Source organism: Homo sapiens, chromosome 16 (assembly GCF_000001405.40).
Source record: "Homo sapiens chromosome 16, GRCh38.p14 Primary Assembly".
In the NCBI taxonomy this organism is placed as follows: Eukaryota; Metazoa; Chordata; class Mammalia; order Primates; family Hominidae; genus Homo; species Homo sapiens.
In genome coordinates, this window is record NC_000016.10 from 14,176,131 (window position 1) to 14,198,659 (window position 22,529).

Sequence of the window (22,529 nt, forward strand, 5' to 3'; positions counted from 1 at the left end):
TACAACCAAAAATATATAACAAGTAGTTTTTGTTGTCAGTTGATTGATTATAAGGAAGATGCTTATCAACTAGCCTGGACTGCTAAATACAAGAATTTATTTAATTAAAGAGAAGCTTGACCATGTAAAAATTGCTGAAACACTGGAATAGATCTTATAGGAATAAGATAAATGAGATACAGTTCCAGCTCGCAAAGATTATAAAATTTACGAAGATGGGGTAAGGGGTTTCGGAAATATGAAAAGTATACAGACAAGTGTTGATGTTGAGAGAAAGTATAAAAGGTTAGACACATCCAGCCTTTCTCAGCCCAGAGAATTAAACCCTACAAATGTGATTTCTGTGACTGTTTTCTCAGTTCTCCCAAGAATGACATAGCAAATACCATTTTAGATTCTTAGGAGAGAAGTGAATTTATTATATACAGTGAATGCCTTTGAGTATTAGGGCTTAATTTCCTCACAGAACCCATTGAACAAAGCTAGACTGAAATCATACTAAGTTAAAAAATCTGCTGTTCTGCTTCTTAAAAGCTGTGTAGCTGGACAAGTGACTTAACCTCTCATTGCCTCACTGTAAAATGGAGATAGTAGTAGAGAGAGCTATTGAGTGGAATAAACTGAGTTAATACATGTAAAACACTTAACACCATGCATAAATACAGTGCTGTAAAATGTGAGTGGCATATAAACAGTAACAACTAGCATCATCATCATCTTCATTATTGTCATCACATGGTGTGCTGAGTCCTTTGATGACAGGTATCATGAGTGTTCAGAGTGTGCAGAGGAACAGACCTGACTTTCAGGGGTGGAGAGAGACATCTGGAAGGCTTCTGAAAGAGACTGATACTGGAACTAGTTCTTGAAGATTGTTTAAGTACAGTTTCCGTGGGCAGAGATAGGGAATAGGGAAATCCAGGAAGAAAAAACTTGTACAAAAACAAGGACAACACAGAGTGTATTAGTGAATACCAAGTAGTTCGAATTAGCTGAAGCATAGGGAACATGTAGGGAGTTAATAACGCCGGTCAGGAAGGTGGGAGACAAAGCACTGATGGCTTTGAATGCCAGGCTAACAAAGGTGGACTGACTTAAGGAGATAGAGGAGAGGCATGGAAGAGGTTTGGTCAGTTGAGTGGCATTTGTTTATTCATAGAGGCAGCATTAATTAAGCAGGCATAGTATCCAAGGCATTGGGACTGCAGAGATGAATAAAATAGCATGGCATGGTTTTTAAGTGCATTGTCCAGAGCTGGACCAACCTGAGGTCTAGGCTAACCCATTACTCCCTGTTGAGTGTTTTGGGTTTTGTTTGTTTGTTTTTTAATCTTTGTTTTTTCACCTAGCAAAAGTGTGTCTTAAACTTAGATGATTTAGTCTTAAGTATAGCATATAATCTTAAAATCAAGGATATCTGAACTCCAGAAAGAAAACTCATTTAGGCACTTTGGGAGGCCACAGCAGGAGGATTGCTTCAGCCCAGGAGTTCGAGACCAGCCTGAGCAACATAGCAAGACCTCATCTCTACTAAAAAACAAAATTAACTGGGCATGGTGGCATGAGCCTGTAGACCCAGCTACTGGGGAGGCTGAAGAGGGAAGATTGCTTCAGCCCAGGAGGTCGAGGCTGCAGCGAGTAATAATTGCACCACTGTACTCCAGCCTGGACAACAGAACAAGTCTCTGTCTTGAAAAAAAGAAAAAGAATGAAAAGAAAACTCATTTAGAAACTATTATTTAGAAAGCGAGAAGTACATGAACCAGAGGTAGGGTGTGTGTGTGTGTGTGTGTGTGTGTGTGTGTGCACGCATTGGTGGGTGTTTAGAGTTAATAATTGATGCCAGTACACAGTTTGAAATTATTAGGAGAGATGGTGCAGAAATGGAAAGTCCAAATCTTAGGAGATTAGAAAAGAGGAGTGTGAGGGAAAATGAAAATATCTTGGTATGCACAAAGGATCCTAGTGGAGAGGTGTAATACACTGATCACAGTTTTGTAAGTAGGCAGGAGGGATTACAGACCTAAACAAATTGTCTGGATTCCCTATGGCAAGAAAAAAATTTACTTCTTCCTCAAAGATGGAAGGATGGGAGTGGGAAGGTTCTGTAGCATTTATGTCTGAAGATCTCAATATTGGTAGCGAATCTAGGGGCCCAAGTTACTTGCTGAGAAAGCTATGAGGATAGTAGGGTAGTGTAATCTTGAGGAAAATGAAAATGCTTTGTGGAACAGAGGTGCAGGAGATTCAAAGTCAGTAAGAGATGAAGGAAACATTTTAGAGTTTATATGAGGGCATGGCATGACTTCATACTGGATTTGGTAGTCATCTTGGCTCCTTAACTTCTCAAGCTTTGCTTTTGTTATTCTCTACCTTTGCCGTAACTCCCAAGATAGTAAAATAGGACACTCAGTCAGATTAGGTAAACAAAGGCAAATGCTTAATTCCCACTTTAAGAGAGCGTTGTGTAAGCCAAGAAGTAGGATCTCCTCTCTCCATTTGAGTTATATGGTGGACTAGTGTTTCACAAACTTGAGTAATATACAGACCTTTTAAAAACAGTTTGTAGATGACTTAGTTGGGCTTTTCAGTGTATGGGGGGCAGGGGAGGTTTTTTTTGTTTGTTTTTTTTTCCCTGAGACAAGTTCTCACTTCGTCGACAAGGCTAGGATACAGTGGCCCCATTTCAGCTCACTGCAGCCTCGTCCTCCTGGGCTCAAGCTATCCTCCCACCTCAGCCTCCCAAGTAGCTGGGACCAGAGGTGCACGCCACCACACTTGTCTAATTCTTTTGTAGAGATGGGGTTTCACCATGTTGCCCAGGCTGGCCTTGAACTCCCGAATTCAAGAAATCCACCCACCTTAGCCTCCCAAAGTGCGGGAATTACAGGCATGAGCCACCACACCAGCCAGATGACTTAATTTTTGTTAATATGACATTGTTGGATTATGTACAATTATAAATGAAGTGTAAACTCCTTGTACTTAGTAGCACTTATATGACAAAACTGAAACACTTTGCATATTAATTATAGAAATCCACAATGCTAATGAAATTAAAATAAATATTAACTTACTGTGACATGATGCATTTTTACATAAATGTGATTGCTGCTTGACACCTGACAGTGGTCCTCACTGCTCTAGCACTGGTTTATGCCATCATGACTCATAGATCCCATTCCTTTTCTCTGTTGAAACTATTACAGTCTGGCTATCATTTTGCCTTCTCTAGGCTTAAACATATTCTCACAGTGTCTGGCTTTGTTACTGTGTGGCAACACTTTATAAAATACTCATCCAGGTGATCAAGGAGATTTTTTTTTCCAGGTTAACAAAATGAAAACAAATTGCATACATTTCCGTAAGGAGTTCATGAACACCCAAGAATACATCTTCGGACTCGGGAAATTTATGTCCTAGTGCTTGTTCTACCAAATCCTGAGACTCTGTGATTGACTGCTTGACTAAAATTAGTCATTTGTGGGCAGGGGATAAGCAAGGGGCAATGGCAGAATATCAAGACATTGAAATTCTTTAGTGGTTGAAATAGTTTATCCTAGACTTAACGATAACTAAGGAAGAGAATGCAGGTAAGGCATGAACTAGTAGTCTGGGGAGTGGTCAGAGGACTAGACTGAAGTCGATGAATAGAAAGCAGTGCTAGTCAGCGTGGTCCATATGCTGTACCATCCTACAGGCTTTTCCTTACCATTCTCCTGTGAGGTAACTTGAGAAATCAGGAGTGTTTAGAAACTTTAACGGCAGCACGACACCGGTGAGACGCTCAAGTGCATGATTAGTGGACTCCTCTTGTTGAACAGAGTGCAGATTAGTCTGGTTATTGCCAAACTAATGTGACCCTACTAGCAGTGCATGGTGGGACCACATATTGGTCTACAGCGATTGGAAGTTTTAAAATATTTCTCTTAACCACAGATAATTACAGAAGCACCGGTATAAAGAACATTCTAATAAGAGTAAAAGAATGGAAAAGAGGAGAAAGTGGCAGTCAGAAATAGTTAAAAGCTCTAGACCATATTCCTTAAGAGACAGAGATTGTGTCACACACACACCTAACATGTCCCCAGTGCATAGAATGATCTTAGTAAATGCACATTGGCCTTCAGTGAGTTACATTAATGATGTCTAGACATATTTGTATCAATAAGGTGATGAAATGACATTAAAAGTCTTTCAAATATCCATAGCTAGGGAAGTTATCTCAGAATTTGAGGAAGACTGATCATATCATCTGAGGAAAGTTCTTTGTTGTAAATCTTGTAGTCAGTTGTATTTATATAAGTAACTATAAAGCTTAGAAATGGAGACAGGACTTGAATGACTTTTTCTAAGTTGATGAAAGTGTGTTCTGTCATTTCTTGATTACTCATGCTAATGATTGGAGCAGGAAGAGACAAATGGCCCCAGTCTCTTACACAAGTGTAGTCAGAACACTTGTGTTGCAGGCTGCCGCTGTCATGTGAATGGCTGCCTGAGGAGGAGCCACGCAAGCTGTCCTCTGCCTGTGCTGCCATTCCCTTGTCCCACACAGCACTCTCCCTCAGTCCGAGCACAGGCCTGTCATGGGACCATGCATGGGGAAATTCCAACCCTGAAAAGCCTTCTTTGCCTTTCATGTCCTCAGAGAGGGTGAAGCAAACCTGGAGGGGAGGGAGGTGCTGAATGTGCTGGTGTGCCGGTCTGTTCCAGGGTGGGGGACAACAAGCACAGATGACAAACCAGTGATCAGACTGTTTGGCCCTGTTGTGGTGTTCAATTCTGCTGCAGTGCTTAACTGTGAAACATGGATGATTTCCTTCAAAATCTTATTACCCTAGAAAGGTCAGAAAAATGTATCCTTCCTTATGAAACAGCGGTTTTCATAGGGGCTAATTTGTTAATCTGTTTACATCTGAAGTACTGTATGTTCAGTATATATTTTTAAAGTGATAAAGTGAAGGACTTTTTCAATATATATTTTAAAAGTGATAACCATAAAGAACTTTAAAGACATGCTATCTGATTTAAGAGATAGCACTCTTTAAGTGTTCTTTGTTTAAATAAAAAAAAATTTTTTTTTAATTAACCGTTGGGATTTACCATAACCATTTAGTAACAGTCTAAAGGTATAGTATTTTACGGTGGTGTTTATAATGTTAAAAGCGAGAAAAATATGGATCAAATATGTATTTTACTAAAAATATGGTAGCATTAGGAAAAAAATTTACGTGTACCCTAGACTGAAATTTTCCTTCCTAAATACATCCAATCTCATTATCTGTGTAGATTTTGTAATACTCTGACTCAGCCTGTGTGAAGGAAGTTGCAAAGCTTACTATTATTCACTTGAGTGAATAGCTACTGAGGATCTATTAGCAAGTACTGAGACATAGAAGATGAAGAGAAAAGGTCATCTTTACTCAATCTTTATGTCAAGAATGCTACCAGAAAAGTATGCCTCAATATTTACCCATCTCTTTGCATTTGTTACTAATTATTTTATTCATTACTCTTGAATGTTTTTACATTGTGAAACATTGCCCAGTTGGAAATATTACGAGGTTTTTTTCATAGTGAAGTATAGTATCATCACAGCAATATTCTTTTTATCAGTAGTTTTATAAGCATATATTAACTCTGCCAAGTTTTTGTGTAAGTCCCTTGAGCTGCATTTGTTTGTATTCTGATTCCCTGAAGACTTTCTTGGATTGTTCCTAGTCTCTAAGCCATACAGTTTTTCTCACACTTATTAAATATCTGCCTGGGGTGGTGGGAAAATGGACTTGATTTATGGTCATCTCTTTCATACTAAAAGAGCTCTTTTCAGTGTGCATACACACAAACACCATGGAAGCAGATTTATCATAGCAGAAGTGACTTTCATCACATATTATTTGAAGTTAAATGTTACTCGTGACATTAGAGCCAAATGACAGTGAAGATGATGTACCACATATAGTAGAGGAACAAGGGCAAACCTACTGGAAAGCAATTCAGGTGACAGTGGTGGGGGTTTCTCCTACTGAGGGATACTGCAGGTCTCCTCCATCTCTCCCTAATTCATTCCAAAAGGCATTGTGTGGAGCTGAGCTAGGCAGCTGCCCCGTGGGAGAGGGGGAGGCAGGCCAGTGTAGAGTGAAGAGGCTTCTGCACAGTTTTAGCCACAGCAGTGGCAGTGGTGATGTATACAGGGTGTCCATGAGTGGAGTGGCAGAAGCTATGGGAGACAGGTTTCTCCCTGTAGGAGAAGGGGCCACAAATACAGAAAAAAATGAGAGCGAACCTGTGGCACTGGAATGGAATTGGAGGCATTGGGATGAACTCATGGTTTTCAATACATATAAATAAATACAGACATACGTACTTAAATATAGATGTATATTTACATCCATTCATATATAGAGATATAAATGTTATGTAGATGTGTGTGTATACATCCACACACATATAAACTCAGACATGTTCCTCAGCTCTGTCTGCAGAGAAGGCCTGGGAACAGTGACACCCTTGCAGCAGTGAGCATACCTAGCATTCAGACCTTGGGTTCTAAACAAAGCAGGGAAAAAGTACAACATGAGTCTGGGACATCTTGTGCCGGGAAGTAAGAAGGTAATAAACTGCTCAAAGAATGATAGAATCATGACAATAAGAAACTGGGAGTTCACACTAGCCAAATCTGGGACAATTTGGGCATTAAAATAAATAATGAAAGTCACAGATTATAAGCTATTGCATGAAATAGGAGACTGTAAGTAGGTAACATAAACCATGTAAAGAGAATTTTTTTTTCTTATAGTAGGATGTGCCACTAATAAATGTAGAAGGAATGATGGAGTTTTCAAATTCACCATTTGGCAGCCATCATAGTGATAAATAATTTAGCCAAACACACCAATGGATTGTTCTCAAAGCACCTTCCCACAGAATAATTATATACAAAAAGAATAATTTCGCCATGGAGAAATCTGGCCAGTACCAAGGTGTCAAAATATACATCATCAGTTTTGAGACAATTAATATACTTGAATTTGTGTATTACCTGATAGGATGCAAAGATTGCATCATTATTTCTGGGGTATTCCTGTTGAAAATGTATCACCAGAACCTAATCCTAAGGACAGAACAGACAGACTCAAATTGAGGATAATACTATAAAATAACTGGCCTGTAATCATCAAAATTCAAGGAAAGATAAGTGAAGAAAGACTGAGAGAATGTTAGAGATGGACAAAAACTAAAGAGACTTAATAATTCAAGAACTCAATGTCATATGTGATCCTGGTTTGGATCCTTTTACTATACAGGATATTGTTGGGACAATTGGTGGAACTTGAATGCAGATATATCAATGTTAACTTGTTTCCTCTTTTTATGTGTTTGTTTTTTTTCTTATCAATGTTAATTTGATATATCTATACCGACTAAGCAGTCATCAATATCATCTTGATATTGATTATTATATTTTGGTTCTGTAGGAGAATATCCTTGTTTGTAGGAATTACACACCTGAACACTTAGGGTAAAGAAGTATCATGTTAGAACCTATTCAGAGATGATTCTGGGGGAAATGCTCTGTAAATTTGAAATTATTTCAAAAAATTTTTTTAATAAATGTTCTTTCAGGCACATTCACCACTAGAGAAATTACTTTCTTTGAGAACTACAAAGACACAACTTTTGATATAAACCTACAGCAGAATAATGTGTTTTCTTATTGGGATTTTGAGATCTATTAGATACAAAAATAAGCATGCAGAGGTTTCTTAAGAGATAGCTTTTTAAAAACACATTTAACACACACTGAAGATACATACACACACAGATATGGTAAAGAATTTTAAAGTGGCTGGTGTAGTTGTGCATCTACTGAGATTTATAGGATTGTGACCTAAAAACAGTTGGGCATTTTTCAGGATTTAAAAGCAACATCCTGAAATTTAAAAAAAAAAAAAAAAAAAAAAGTTGGCATTTATTGTTTTCGTTGTTCTTTTTGCAAAGTAATTAAGCATGTAGGCCCCGGAGCCAAGCTGCGTGCTTTGGAATCCTGGCCACCACTTATGAGATATGCCACCTCTGACAAAGTATTTGATTTTTTTTTTTTTTTTTTGAGATGGAGTCTCACTCTGTGGCCCAGGCTGGAGTGCAGTGGCACAATCTCAGCTCACTGTAACCTCTGCCTCCCGGGTTCAAGCGATTGTCTTGCCTCAGCCTCCCGAGCAGCTGGGATTATAGGTATGTGCTACCATGCCCAGCTAATTTTTGTATCTTTAGTAGAGATGGGGTTTGCCATGTTGGCCAGGCTGGTCTCAAACTCCTGACCTCAAGTCATTCGCCCACCTCGGCCTACCAAAGTGCTGGGATTATAGGCGTGACCCACCACTGATTTTTTTAAGCCTCCATTTTCCCATGTGTAGATCAGGAAAATAATGTTGAACTCACAAGTCTTGCAGTAGGATAGCATACAGTAATCACTAAATAAAGTTGGCTGCTATTATTATTTCATGAGTAGTTAAAATGCTTTCATAAAATCATTTTAGTATGATTATGTTAGCTTTCTTTCCTCTCACCAGGAGTAGAATTACCAGGGGGCCATCAAAGTCATGGCTTCTGCTATTAAGCCTGTCTCAGGATGAAATTAAAGCCTGGAGCTGGAGCATATTCTAGAAGACAGAAGGCAGGGCAAGGCCATAGACAGACTTGGGCTTTAGAGAACTAAGACTTTGGTTAAATTCCATACCTGCTACTTAGAAGCTTTGTGACTTGAGTCTTGGCGTGTAAAATGTCTATAGCATACACAATCATAGCGACCACGCCAATTGTGGAGGGTTAAATTAGATAAACCTTGCAAAACAGCTAATTAAGTGACCAACCTAAAGAATGTCCTCAAAGAGCTATGGTTATTTTTATTACTCCTTTAAAAGTGCATGAGTAGTTTCTTCAGAAGAATGTAGGCGTTAGGGTCAGAGATAGTAACAGAACGTTTGAGGGCATTTTTGAGAGTGTGATAAGCTTGTCACTATTTGTTCCTGCAGAGGTTTGGACTGCCGAGGATGGACTTAAATTGCTTCAGAAGGAATTTCAGTTGACAAGAAGCATGTCCTGTGAGATGCTGAAAAAGGATAGATAGCAATCTTTCTAGAACAATATGGGTTTAGTGCACACCAGCCTTGGAACCAGGCACAAAGGACAGAATACTTCATCCAGACCCACCTGTGTTTAAGTGGTGGAAAGAATATTGATTTTTCTGTCTGTAAAAATGTAAGCCTTTATCCCAGAGGAGGGTCTCATCAGGTGCATGATTAAAATGTGTCTGTATATTTTCTTTTGAAGAGAAAATGTGCTTCCTTTAGAGAACTTATTTAGTTGCTCATCTAAAATTAGTGGCTCTTAGTTATTGACCCAGGACTTCTTTAGAATTCTGGGTATTATTAAAGGAAGTTTTCCTGATGCACTGTCTTCTGCTTTAATTCATTCACTCAACCATGCTACAGATGTTTATTGAGAACACCTAATATTCCAAGCACTCTGCTAGAAGTTATTTTGAAAAAAAAAAAAGGACAAAACAGAACCTCATGAAACAGTATTCACAGTCTACTGCTCTTATAACCTCTGATGGGTTTTATGGGAACTCTTTGCAAAGGAACACACTTTGAACCATTTTTAAAAATCAGATTATTTTGGCTACAGAGGTATATATCTGGAGTATTTGGAGACTGGCTTATCTCCACATTTGCCTGGAATTCCTGTATCTAGAGATTTCCTTCCAGCAGTGTCCCTATATGCAGTGAACAGCAGCCTGTGACTTGCAGGAGAGGTGCCCATCCTTGATAGCTCATGTAAAATTAAACTTAGGCTGGTCATTGGTTTACTCTGTTATGAAATAGAAGCTGTCAGTGTTGCCGCTTTTAATGCATGGGGGGAGAATTTTCCTTAAAAAAAATCATGGCAATGTTAACTCTCCCAGCCAACTAGTGGCACTAAGAAAAACTGCTGCTTGGGTCTGAATTGCCAAAGGAAGAAAGCTGCAATTGCAGTACATTTCCCTATTACAAAGAGCATCAGCTTTGCCAGGAAGAGGCACATGCAACACAAAGCACACCACAAAAGAACTTTGGTGGTGAAATGACTCTGTCTTCATTCACATATGCTGGTAGCATGTTTATTCAGTGTGTGCCTCTGCTGAGATAAGAGCCGCTTCCTTCAGATGCCCTAGACTGCCGTTTGTGTAGCTGGAGAACTTAATGAGTAATTGATGTGCTTGTCTGGTCAATATAAAGTATTTCCATAGCCTGTGGCTGTGTTTATAGAGAGCGGGAGAGAGACCACAGGCAGCAATTTGTCTTCTTAGGTATCAGCAAAGTCTTCTCTTTTAACAACTAGAAGATTTATTTTTAACTGCTTGACTCAGTGTTTGTCAGATGATTCGGACCATCAAACTGCAGACTGAAGTCCCCAGCGCGGGGGAAGCTGGAATGGCAAGGGAAAGGGGGCTGGCTGGGAAAAGGGGTGGGATTTTAGAATCGTGCCTGTGTGGCTCTGCCTCCCGATGTGGGAGAGAGTTAAGGGCTTCCAGCGGCATGAGTGTATTTGCAGGTCAAGCTGGGAACTAAAGGGTAATGGCTGCCTTCAGCTGCTTAAAGACATAATTGGCCAGTGATTGGGGTATTGTGGGGAGCAACCAGGGACCCAGGGACCAGAGTGTTCTGCGCACCGCACTTCGCTCTTCTGCAAATTAAGCTTTTCTCCTGCTTGATGCTGCCTGTCTTCAGAAGCCTCTCACCATGATCGATAGCTCCAAGAAGCAGCAACAGGGCTTCCCAGAGATTTTAACTGCTGGGGATTTTGAACCATTAAAAGAAAAGGAATGCCTTGAGGGGAGCAACCAGAAAAGTCTCAAGGAAGGTCAGTCTGTCTGTGGACAGGGGCAAAACTGCCAAATTCATATTCTGGTCAGCCAGCTGAGCGTGTCTGTCTGTTACCATGCTATGTGTCTGCTCTCTCTGTTCACTCATGTACCTTACACATTCTAAGTTCTTTGAAATGAAAGCTTAATGCTGTTCTGGGTAGCTGTTACTAAAGATTCATTAGCTGATGGAACTGTAGGGCTTTTGCAGTAATTCATGCAGTAAGGGGACTTGTACAGCCAGTCCTCATTTTGGTAAAATCTTCCCAGGTTCATTTTGTATATTTTCTTCCTTTTTTTCTCTTCCCTCTGTCTTTTCGGAGAGGCCATTTCCTTTTTTATGTTAGTGAGAACACTGCTTCTTTTAGGTTTCCAAACACATAATTCCAGGAAAATTCATTTTTTCAGTTAAGATGCTTATGATTTTTACTGTTTAAAACCAGGAAGGTAGCTAGCTTTTAAATCCTACAGTGATAGGTTAATTGGTTGTAATGCGCATTGCATCGTTTTTTGTTTTAAAAAGCACATTGCATAGCTTGATTTTGTTTTGTAACAAAGCAAAGAATAAGCTTGAGAATAAATACTGTCGATTATTATTGTTAGTAAACACTGCACAGGCACCTCACTGATTGATTTAAGGAAATAGCCAAACATGTGGACATTGCTGTCCTCTGTCCTGGCATACAGAAGCATGGCAAGACTGGTACACAGCTTGCCTTCCTGTAGCCAGTGTTTAAGAAATTCAGGGTCTACAGAGAATAAGTTTTCCTGAATTTGAGACATGAGGGTCACTCTTCTCAATGCTTGTTTAATTTGAAAATTGGTTTCCTAGTCATCTTTGGAAAGCAAAAACCCACAATCCCCCTTTTTCAGCCTCTGCTTTCAGCTGCTGCCAGCAGCCACCCCCTTGCCTCCCGCTCGCTCTTGCCCGTCTTATAGAGACCCAGAGAGTAAATGTAGAGTTAATTGGTCTAAGTAGTGCTTTGAGCTTCTTCTAAAAGATAAGAAGAAGAAACAAGAGTTAGACTTGCTGGAGTTGAACTACTCTTGGGTATGGGCAGGAAAAACTCCTAGGTCGAAATAAATGACACACAATGAAGTATAAATAGCTGTTGCTAGGAACCAAACAATGGAGTTGCCTCTGCTTGTGCACGGCATGTCTTACTGCCGGTTTTTATAAAAATCGATACCAGTGGAATTTTTAGGATGCATTTCTGGAGACTCATTGAAGGGAACTTAAATTTCTTAAATCATTAATTTCTTAAAAGTTTGAGAATTATCTATCATTTAAGTCAAGTTCAAGTGTCAAGCTCCTAATAATACCATAAATTTAAAACATTTTTGCGTACTTGAGAAACTAGGAAAGTAGAGGAAAACAGAATAGGAGAAATAAAAAGATGTCACAACAGCAATGGGATTAAGGCACATAGAAAGCAAGGATTAAAAATATAAAAACAGAGTAAGAGAATCATCAACAGGAACCACAAAATAGAGTTGTGATGGTTACATAAAGTACAGATTCTTTCCCTAACAATTCTGACTATGCTTTCGATTTATACAGGTGTAATAGTATAATGGCAAAACAGCATAGACCCTGGAGTGAGAAATACTTGAGTTCAAATCCTACATGCACCATTTACCGGGTCTGTGATCCTGGACAAGCTTACTCCTCTGAGCCTTAACTTCCTCATTTGTACAATGAGGAGAAACAATACCTACTTCATAGTGATTTTATTAAGATGCCTTGTTAATGCCAGTTTCTCATCTCTCTTCTTGCTTTTTTCGTATTTCTTTTTCCTTCTGTTTAAATTTAAATTTTAAAATCCTGCATATGTTTACAAAATAGAAGTGTTATATATCTTATTGTTTTGTTAAATTCGTTGATATAAAGAGGTAGAGGAGAGAAACTTTATATTTAAAACACTCCACAGAAATAACTGGATGATAAAATTAATGTCTCACTGTAGTTGCACTGAACTGGGTTTTGCTTTATATCTCAACAGACTAAATATTTCTCCTCATTTAATAGATTCTACTCATCTAATAGATAGGGTTGAGGCTAAAATAATGTATGTAGACATTAAGGACGATTTGCTGCTTCAAAGTTAGTGACATTGAAAGGATTAGATCTGGATTTAATTAGAATGGAAAAAATAAAAATTATAGAAAGGCACTTTTAAAATTTGGAGTCATATAAAAATAACTCGGTTCTCTTTGCAAAATTGAACTCCCAAAATTCAGTATGTCACTGATCCTGCCTGCAGATGAACAACAGTGTTTAGCTCATCAGATTTGTAGAATTTAACTTTGGGACAAGCTCCTGGTTACTTTATCTGCTTTTAAATATTGGGTCCTGCATCGTTTACATGAATCCATGGAAGTTAATTGAGATGGCAGCAGTTGTTCAAATACTTTTGGTTAATGTTTTACTCTAAAATACCCTGGAGTCTAATTAGATTTGTGCTGTTTTGTCAAAAGAGACAAATATATAAATGACTATTAATAATCCCTAATAGTTTATACTTCATGTTTTAAAGGACACTTATTAAAAATATTTATCATATTTTATATCAACAGTGGTTTTCTACTCATTTTTGGAAAACTTGTTTTTGGGTTGTTTGAAAAAGCAACCTTTAGAATTTTTTCAAATGTCTGAATTATAAGTTTCTGGGTAATGAAGGAGGGATAAATTTGGGTTCATTTAACTTTTTAATCACATAGACACAAGCTTGGGCTCTATATGTCTGATACGTGTCCACTCTCAGGGCTTGGAAGGCTACTCTGCTTCTCAAGTAGTTGCTTGCTTGCTTCCTTATATTGGGATGTTTTAGAATCTTGTAATTGTTGACAGTGCTAGTTGGCTGAAATTATTATGAGGGGAAAACAGCCTTTATTAGCAAACGCTGTAGGATTCAAGAATTGACGGGATGCCTTAACAAGAAAATTTAGCAATACCTTTTGAAAATTTAAAAGAGGAAAAAGTTCTAACTGCTGACCACCTGTGAAGAGTTGTCATCACAGTGCAGAGAATTGTGTGGATAATAAAGCATATCATCTCACAGCTTTGTTGATGCTTATATAAGCTTTTTGATAGACACCAGCCAGTATATGTGGTTGGAGAATTTAATTATTTTCTTCTCTAGGAGAGAACAGCAATAAATGTCATGAATTCCCCTGAACAAATTCAAAATAGAAAATTCTCCTTAGACTAGTTTCTTTTGTCAAAGCAGCAACAGGAAATCTCAACTTTTAACTTGTCTACAAACGGCTTCAAACATTCTCTGATTACACTCAACATACATGAGCTTTCAATTTCTGGATCTACAGCTAAGAAGAGTATTACAAACCACTCTGACATGACAACTGAAGAGTTGATAATTATGAATTTTCAGGAAAAATCAAATAAATTGAGATGATTTAATTCAGATAAGTGTTTTAATGTGGGTCATTATTGAGATAAATGAATCATAATTCTAATGCTACTAGCTAGTTATGTTCCATATTTATCACAGGCAAATGGTAGCAAATGGATTTTAAGAGGAAAAAATGATATTTGATATAAAGGACTCTCTAATGGTGAAAAATAAGATACTACAGAAAGAAAACCAAGTTGTGTGTTAATTACTTTGACTAAAACTGCCCTAACAGACAACCCTCAATCGCAGTGTTTTAACCATTCAAAGTGCATTTCTTGCTCAAAACGCAGTCCAGTGTGGGCAGGACAACTATCCCAGGCAGCTGTCCTCCAAGAAGTGACCTGGGGACCTGGGCTCCTGTCATTGTGTGGCTCAACCAGGAGTGTCAACGGAGTGGGGAGGAGTTACAGACTTGGGGGGCCACATTTCCAGTTCTGCCACAGACTGGCTAATAGCCGAGATGAAGTACATGAAAGCTTATGGTAGATGGCCCAGCCAGCAATGCAGTAAATTAACATACTGTACTGGGATGTGTCTATAGTAGCTTTGAGAAGAAAATGAACATTTGTCTGAAATATTATGAATAATCCAACCTGGAAATACATCGAGATTAAATAAATCACTTTACCAAAGCACCAGAGCTTTTTTAAATGATGGAAGTTATGCATACTCTACCTGTACTGTCCACTACGCACATATGGCTGCTTAAATTTAAAATAATTAAAATGAAATAAATTGTTTTAAAAATTCAGCTCCTCAGTCACATTAGCCACATTTCAACTACTCAGCAGCCACATGTGGCTAGTGGCTGCTGCAATGAATGTTTCCATTTCTGCCCTCACAGAAAGCTCTGGACAACGCTACTCAGTGCTTTGCTCCTCTCGCTCCTGCCTTGCAGGCCCTGTCTCTTACAACCCAATTCCTGTGCCATTTTTTAAAGAAAGGCACTTGATCCCATCAGCTAATGATAATTTCTTCTCTCCTGTATATTCCCAGTAACTGTATCTGTACCATTCTATGGCATTTCACCTTATGCTAGTGTAATATAGAGCTGCACTGTCTTTGCTATTAGCCCCATAATATTTCTTGGAGAAAGAATTGTTGTCTGGCCTGTTTGTCCCCCTCATCCCCCAATACCCTGCATCTCATAGACACATTATTATTATGCATAAGTATTTAAAGAGTATTATACCCTTCTCTGCCTTCTTAAACAGAATATAATAATTGGAATTATCACCTTCAGATATAATTTATAATTCCATTATAAATTAATGGCTTACCCCAAATGTAATGCCATGGTGCCCCGAAGGCACTGTTAAGGTATGTAAGATTGTTGTCCATGCACAGAATGATTGCTGGGTCATTACTAGATTACTCAAATTGTTATTTATTGTTTGATTTTTATCATCTGCCACTTCAGGCTGCTCTTCCTTTTCTGATTGCTGCTTCTAACTTTAAAAATAAAATAGACAATTAAAATAAATGGTTAAAACATATAGAAGGTATTACAAAGCACATGAATTTTGCAACGTCTATTTTGATTTCTTTTGGAATGTCTTCTTTGTTTTCTGCCGACATTCTACTAATTAAAAGTGTTGTACAAGTGAGCTGCCACTAAATTAATGTTTTTTAAAGGAGTGGGGCACGGTGGCTCACACCTATAATCCCAGCACTTTTGGGAGTCTGAGGCAGGAGGATCACTTGAGCCCAGGAGTTTAAGACCAGCCTAGGCAACATAGCAAGACTCCGTCTCTACAAAAAAAAAAAAAATAAGCCAGGTGTGCTGGCTTATAAGCCTGTAGGCTTACCTACTTAGGAAGCTGAGATGCAGGGATCCCTTGAACCCAGGAGTTTGAGGCTGCAGTAAGCTGTGATCATGCCACTGCACTCCAGCCTGGGCGACAGAACAAGACCCCTGTATCAAAAAGTAAATTTGAAAAGATACGAGATATGGTTCTTATACAATAGGAATGAAAAAGTAAAAGATATCTCTTCACAGACATTATTCAGTATTTTTAAAAGGTGCATACTACTATTGAGATGAAGTTATATAATTTTTTTATTAGAAATAATTTTATTTAGCAGAAGTTTGAGTGCTTTCACATAGCACAATGCCAGTTATGTTAAACTTCTGTAAGCCCCTACATTCAGGGAGCTGATAGCCTAAAGAATGAGAAACTAAATGATAGTAGAAGTTAAAACACACCCACATACACGAGATAACAGAAAAAAGCTATGTATGCTTTGGTCCAAATAAGCAAGCATTACAGACTGGGGGCTGGGCCTCTCTTGTGCTGCAGACCTGTGCTGCCATCTGCCTCCCTGATGTTTCCAATGGGCCTTTTATTCCTTGCCACCAAACATTCTTCCAGGGTTCCTCATCTCAATAAACAGCACCCCTGTCCACCCAGTGGCTCCTGCCAGGAACCTAGTTGGGAGCAATTCTTGACACCTTCCTTGACCTCCTCAGAACCTGTCACCAAGTCCTGCCGCCAAAGCTGCCAATTCTACCTCAGAAATATTTCATCTGTCCACAGCACTGTATCATCACGGCCAACAGCCCTGTCCAGGTCCCCTTTACTCAGATCACATATTTACGGGCATCTTTACTCCAGCAGAAAGAGCGCAGCCTTGCTGGTTTTCCCTCCCCCTACACACATTCTGGCCCCTTTCATTCCTTCACCCTCCACTGATGTCAGGAGTGATCATTGTATTGCGTCACTGCACTCCAACCTGGGCAACAGTGAGACCCTGTCTCAAAAAAAAAAAAAAAAAAAAAAAAAAAAAGAATGATCATCTTAAAATGTAATCCTATTCCGTTGTGTCACTGGCTCACACCTTGTAATTGATTTCCGTTGTACTTGGGATAAAATCAAAAATCTGTGGGGTAAAAAGCCTTGCCTATGTTTCCAGAAGCCGCTGGACTTGCTCTCCCTCATCTCTCTTCTCTCTAGAATGCCTCCCCTCCCCAGCCCCTGGCCTGAGCACCTGCAGCTCACCCTTTCAGTTTCACTTCAGATGTCGCCTTCTCACACAGGCCCTTCAGTACCACTGCTCCCTCCTCAAACTGACTTAGATCCTTTTAGTCTTTGTATGTATCATCACTATTATTTTATTCAATATCCCTCCCCCCTCTAGACTGTAAGATCTATGAGGATGGCGCTAAGTCTATTTTGTTCACCACTGTGCTTGCACCTGCCGGCCTGTGACATCTGCTACTCACTTGGTAAATACTATTTCACAGGAGGATGTTTATTTCCTGGGATAGAATAACCAGGAAAGTGTTCGTGGGGCTGCTGTGGTTATCCTGATTCCATCACCTAAAGGAAAAAGGCACATCAAAATTACCATTTAAACCATTTTAAGGCCTACATTCAGCGTCAGGGTAGGCCTTGATTAGTATTTCATCATATCAGTCTCACCTCATTAAGGTGATAATAGTCCCTGCTTACAGTGGTTCAACTTAGGATTTTTGACTTTATGATGGGTTTATCAGAGTATTAAATGCATTTTGACTTACAGTTTTCGACTTAAACCCATCCTAAGTGAAGGAGCATCTGTACTATCATAACACCACTCTAATTTATTAAAAGCTTTCAGGAAAAAGTATAGATACGTTTGAAACATTGGGTTTTCCGTTGTTTCCTAAAGATAGCTTTATCAGGGTTTTTTAGCAGGCATCAGAATGGCAAAGAAGATCTTAACATTTCTTTGTGTCTTCCCAGTTGTATTTGTATTGCTTATACTGCAATAACAAAATACCGGTGGACTACCTGGCTTAAACAACAGAAGTTACTTTTCTCACAGTTCTGGAGGCTAGGAAGCCTGGTGAGGCCAGTTAATGGTGGTGGGTCTCTTCCAGGCTTGTAGCCTTCTTGCTGTGCATGCACAGGGAGAGAAAGAAAGAGGGAGGGTGAGCCCTCAGGTGTCTCTTCTCATGAGGACACTAACCCTGTCAGATCAGGGTCCCAACCTCGTGACCTCATTTAACTTTACCTCCGAAAGGCCCTTTTTCCAAATGCAGTCACATTGGGGGTTAGGGCTTCCATGTAGGAATTTGAGAGGGACACAGTTCAGTCTATAACAGCAGTGAATTCTTATTGATGTAAGAACTTTTTCTAGTGGTATTTTAAGGTACAAGATTTCTTATAAAATAGAGATAGTGTGAGCAAAAGCACTGATGAGGTTAATTGGTACAGTGGCCAAAACTTCATAGCATATTAGGAAGTATTTCTTTTTGTATGCTTTTCTTTTTTTTTTTTTTTTTTAATTATCTTGTGGAAAGACTAAATTTTCCTTTTTAATTCTGGCTCTGCTTCTCACTAGCTGTGTGATCTTGGATAAATGCTTAATTCCTTTGTAAAACTCAGTATTGGTACCCGCCATGTAGGGTTGTTATGAGGATTAGATGTGGTGATAGCCGTAAAGCTCCCAGGATGGAGTCTGACAAACAATGAGCCCACATTAAAGCTCCGTTTGACGCACTTGGCCATCCTTCCCAGTGTGGGGCAAAGTAAAACCAATTTCTAGGCTATTGAAGCAGGTGAATGCACACAGGCTGGCAATTTCCCAACTGAATATGATTTCTGAGGAGGTGCAAGTATCCAGTGTCTGCATTCTAGCATGCATGATCATCTGCTAGAGTTGCCCTTTTTCTCGTTTATTTGAATCTAAACAGTAGAGCAAGTAGATTGACTATCTTGGAGTTTAAACACCGAAAACATCCAAACATCAGAACTTTTCTCCACATACTACTGACATTGAAACATGTCACGAAACATGACATTCTAATACCAGAACAATTGGCTTTTGTGCGTGGCAAGGGATAATGTGGCAATCCTCTATGCTGTGCATGGCTGCTTGGTCCATCATCGTCTGGATCATCTCACACAGTTGCTATGATATTAGGATAACACACAAGTTATGGCAGTTCTTAGTTTATGTTTTGCTAGGCACATTGCACATGTGTGTGTATATATATACATAGGTATATGTACAAATGTGTATATGTAAATATATTTGAGTGTGTGTTTGTATCAGCCCCATTCCTGAATCCACAAAATGGAAAGGAAAACCGAGATACTGAGTCTGGATCATCTGACTTCAACAGAGTAGCATGTGCTTACTATTCTGGGAAAAATTGGAGGTAAACAATATTCCACTGTTTCCTGTTTCGTTAATTGTTCTTTTATTCAGAGAGCCCACCTTACGCATTTGTATTAAGAAACATGAGAACATTCTATACAATGTACATTTTTCCATTATAGAGGGATTCAGAAGCAGAGCTTTAGCTTGTAGCACTAGCTCTACCTATAGCTGCACACTGAAATTCTAAACCATGATGGAGTGTAGAATTTTTTATTGCCCTCAAAATAAGAAAAATAAACATTATCTTCTTTGGGAACTGTATAGATAAGGAATTTAGAACTTTAAGGATAGAACCAACATGATCTCACAGGTTAAAAATGAATTGTTTGAAAAATCAAGTATTGTTTTAACCTCTGCATTGTTGGTGATCAATTAAGTGGATGATTAATATCTTTATGTACATCTGTCGCAGGCTAATGTTATCTCTGCCATTCTGTACCAGGCCCCTGGCTTGACAACATACTGTCATATCACAAGAAGCATACTTTAAATTCATTCCAACTTTTGACAAAAAGGAGAAGGGAATTTGTGTGAAGGTATGATGAGTTTAAAGAAACATGCCCCATTTTTAGCTGTCTGTTTCCATGGCAACAGAAGCAGCAGCCAGCCAGAGAGTTATCAAAGCTCCTGTAAATTTCCAAAGCTGAGTGTTGAAACATTGTCTTCCTGACCTCATGCTGCAGATTATCGTAGGAAACCTACAGTGTATTAGTCTGGAATAATGGCGGTCCTGTTAGCATTTTAGTTTTTACTTTAATTTTGCTCTTTAATTTCTAAGAGAAGGTAAATGCTACATTCTAGATTGTGGGACTTCCTTACAGGCAAGGGATGGTGGTTTAGAATTCCGAGGTCTATACCACCTGCCACTTCCCCTCCTTTTCCAATTCTGTATACTTAATAAGAATGCAGTAAACTTTATGTTGAAATCAAAGGCAATATTTCCACTTGGTCTAGAGCCTAACTTTTTTCAAACACTAATTTGAATAGTTTTTCAGTTAACTTGATGTTGTTGCTCCCTTTTTCATCAGAAAATAGTCTTAATATCAAAATTCCTGATCAAAATGCTGTTTGCTCTTTGTAGTGTCTGGGGTTGATATTTATGTGCACACTGTGGAGCTCTGCTTTTGTTTCAGACAGGAAGTGCTGGTGGAAGTTTGCTTACCCAGTGCAGATAGCACAGCTTTTACAGAACAAACCACCATTTTATTTCTGGCCTGTTTGCATTCCACTTTTTAAAATTCCTTGAAGAAGAACCCATTTTATAATTGGCAAATTAGCACCCTTGAAATATAACCCAAAATTTGTGATATTCAGTTACTACTTTTTATCATCTATGAGAGTACTTTAGTGCTTTCTCTTTTTTCTTTTTTTTTTTTTTTTTTTTTTTGAGATGGAGTCTCACTCTGTTGCCCAGACTGGAGTGCAGTGTCGTGATTGCGGCTCACTACAACCTCTGCCTCCCGGGTTCAAGCGATCCCCACCCCACCTCCACCTCAGCCTCCCAAGCAGCTGGGATTACAATCGTGCCCCACCACGCCTGGCTGATCTTTGTATTTTTAATAGGGGTTTCACCATATTGGCCAGGCTGGTCTCGAACTCCTGACCTCAAGTGATCCGCCTGCCTAAGCCTCCCAAAGTGCTGGGATTACAGGCGTGAGCCATCGTGCCTGGCCAGTGCTTTCTCTTCTTTAATGCAGCTTGAATTTCGCATTAATTCTAAGTGGAGAAATCTACCACTTTTTCATGGCCTTCTTTACTTTTTTACTCATAGCCCCTCCTTTTTAGTCTTTTACCCTTCAGAACAACATAATTACATTTTGTCTTCGTTCCTACCATCATCAGCAATTCAAAAATAACTCCAAACTCCAAATTCCCGCAATGAAGTGAAACGGTGTTGGTTTTGCCCCCATGATAATCACTTGCCCATAGAAAATTATTTTGTTAATTTATTCTTAAATGTGACATTGTATTCTGTTTTCTTAGAAAATAGCAACTCAGTTATATGCTCTAAGTATACCATGCAAATTTAAGTAAAACATGTTTATTAAAACTTATATATATGGTAAGCATTGTGGAAGGTGCTAGAAATATAAGGATGAGGTCTAGTAGGGCAAATAGAGGCAAAATATAGATATCTAGCGTGCAGTGTGATGGGGAATATATAATGTAGTTGTTATTGTAGTTACCAAATTGTTAAAAGATCAAATCATTATTAATGGTTAATGGAATTATGGTGGTGAGAGGGGCCAGCCAGGGGTGGGTAGGAAATAAGAAATGTGATTATTGAGAAATTAGTTTCATAATGTCTGTTCTGCTAACTGTTCCTTTTTTTTAATTACTGAAGTGAAATTCACATAACATAAAATTAACGATTAAGCAGTTGCTGTCATGCTCCCTTCCCCGCAATCCCTGGCAACCACCAATCTGCACTCTGTCTCTGAATTTACCAGTTCTGGATATTTCATGTAAATGGGGACTCATACAATATGTGAGCTTTTATATCTGACTTCTTTTCCTTGTAATGTTTTTCAGTTTCATCCACATTGTAGTATGAGTATTTAATTTATTTTTATGACTGAATAATATTCCATTGTATGGATATGCCACAATTTGTTTATCCATTCATCTGTTGATGACATTTGGGCAGTTTCTGCCTCTTGGCTATTGTGAATAGAGTTGCTATGGACATGTGTGTACATGTATTTGTTTGAGTACTTGTTTCCAATTCTTATTTCACCTAGGAGTAGAATTGCTGGGCTGCAATTGTTATAAACTAAAATTATATTCAGTTTAGAAAAGAACTTCTTTAGGAAAGACTTTAGAAAGAACTGCTAAATGTTCTAATTTTGTATCTTATGGTCTTTTCCTCTGATAAAAATGATACCATTTAGAGCCAGTGAATAACTTGCCATGCAGTTTCCTGATTTCTCTCCCCCTGGCTGTTGCCTTTACTAGTTGGAGCATTTCGGTAATGCATAACCATGTTTCTCTTCTTGACTTTCTCTTCACAGTCTACAGTGATTATTCCAAACCTCCTTCACTGGCCTCAAAATTAACTT

The 22,529-nt window shown here is 38.8% G+C and overlaps 1 protein-coding gene across 33 annotated transcripts in view, besides 2 other annotated features; it reads left to right on the forward strand.

Moving 5' to 3' along the window:
- Positions 1–22,529, forward strand: part of MRTFB (myocardin related transcription factor B) — a 272,006-nt gene that overhangs the window by 181,357 nt on the left and 68,120 nt on the right. For 3 of the 33 annotated variants that reach the window (XM_017023504.2, NM_001365411.2, NM_001365415.2), the window contains exon 1: positions 10,556–10,905. The exons of 25 other annotated variants lie outside the window; for them this stretch is intronic. In XM_017023504.2, coding sequence (XP_016878993.1) covers positions 10,785–10,905 — 121 coding nt within the window. In that variant the 5' untranslated portion in view covers positions 10,556–10,784. Of the gene's footprint in view, positions 1–10,555; positions 10,906–17,132; positions 19,469–22,529 lie in introns of those variants that run through there. 5 more of the 33 variants (NM_001365413.2, NM_001365414.2, NM_001365416.2 and 2 more) reach the window with 3 other exon arrangements.
- Positions 17,302–17,351: an enhancer, noted in NCBI's record as "active region_10489". NCBI's record gives its function as "activates an Ori minimal core promoter by ATAC-STARR-seq in GM12878 lymphoblastoid cells {active_cell/tissue: GM12878}" and the evidence as "EXISTENCE:reporter gene assay evidence [ECO:0000049][PMID:35858748]".
- Positions 17,362–17,411: an enhancer, noted in NCBI's record as "active region_10490". NCBI's record gives its function as "activates an Ori minimal core promoter by ATAC-STARR-seq in GM12878 lymphoblastoid cells {active_cell/tissue: GM12878}" and the evidence as "EXISTENCE:reporter gene assay evidence [ECO:0000049][PMID:35858748]".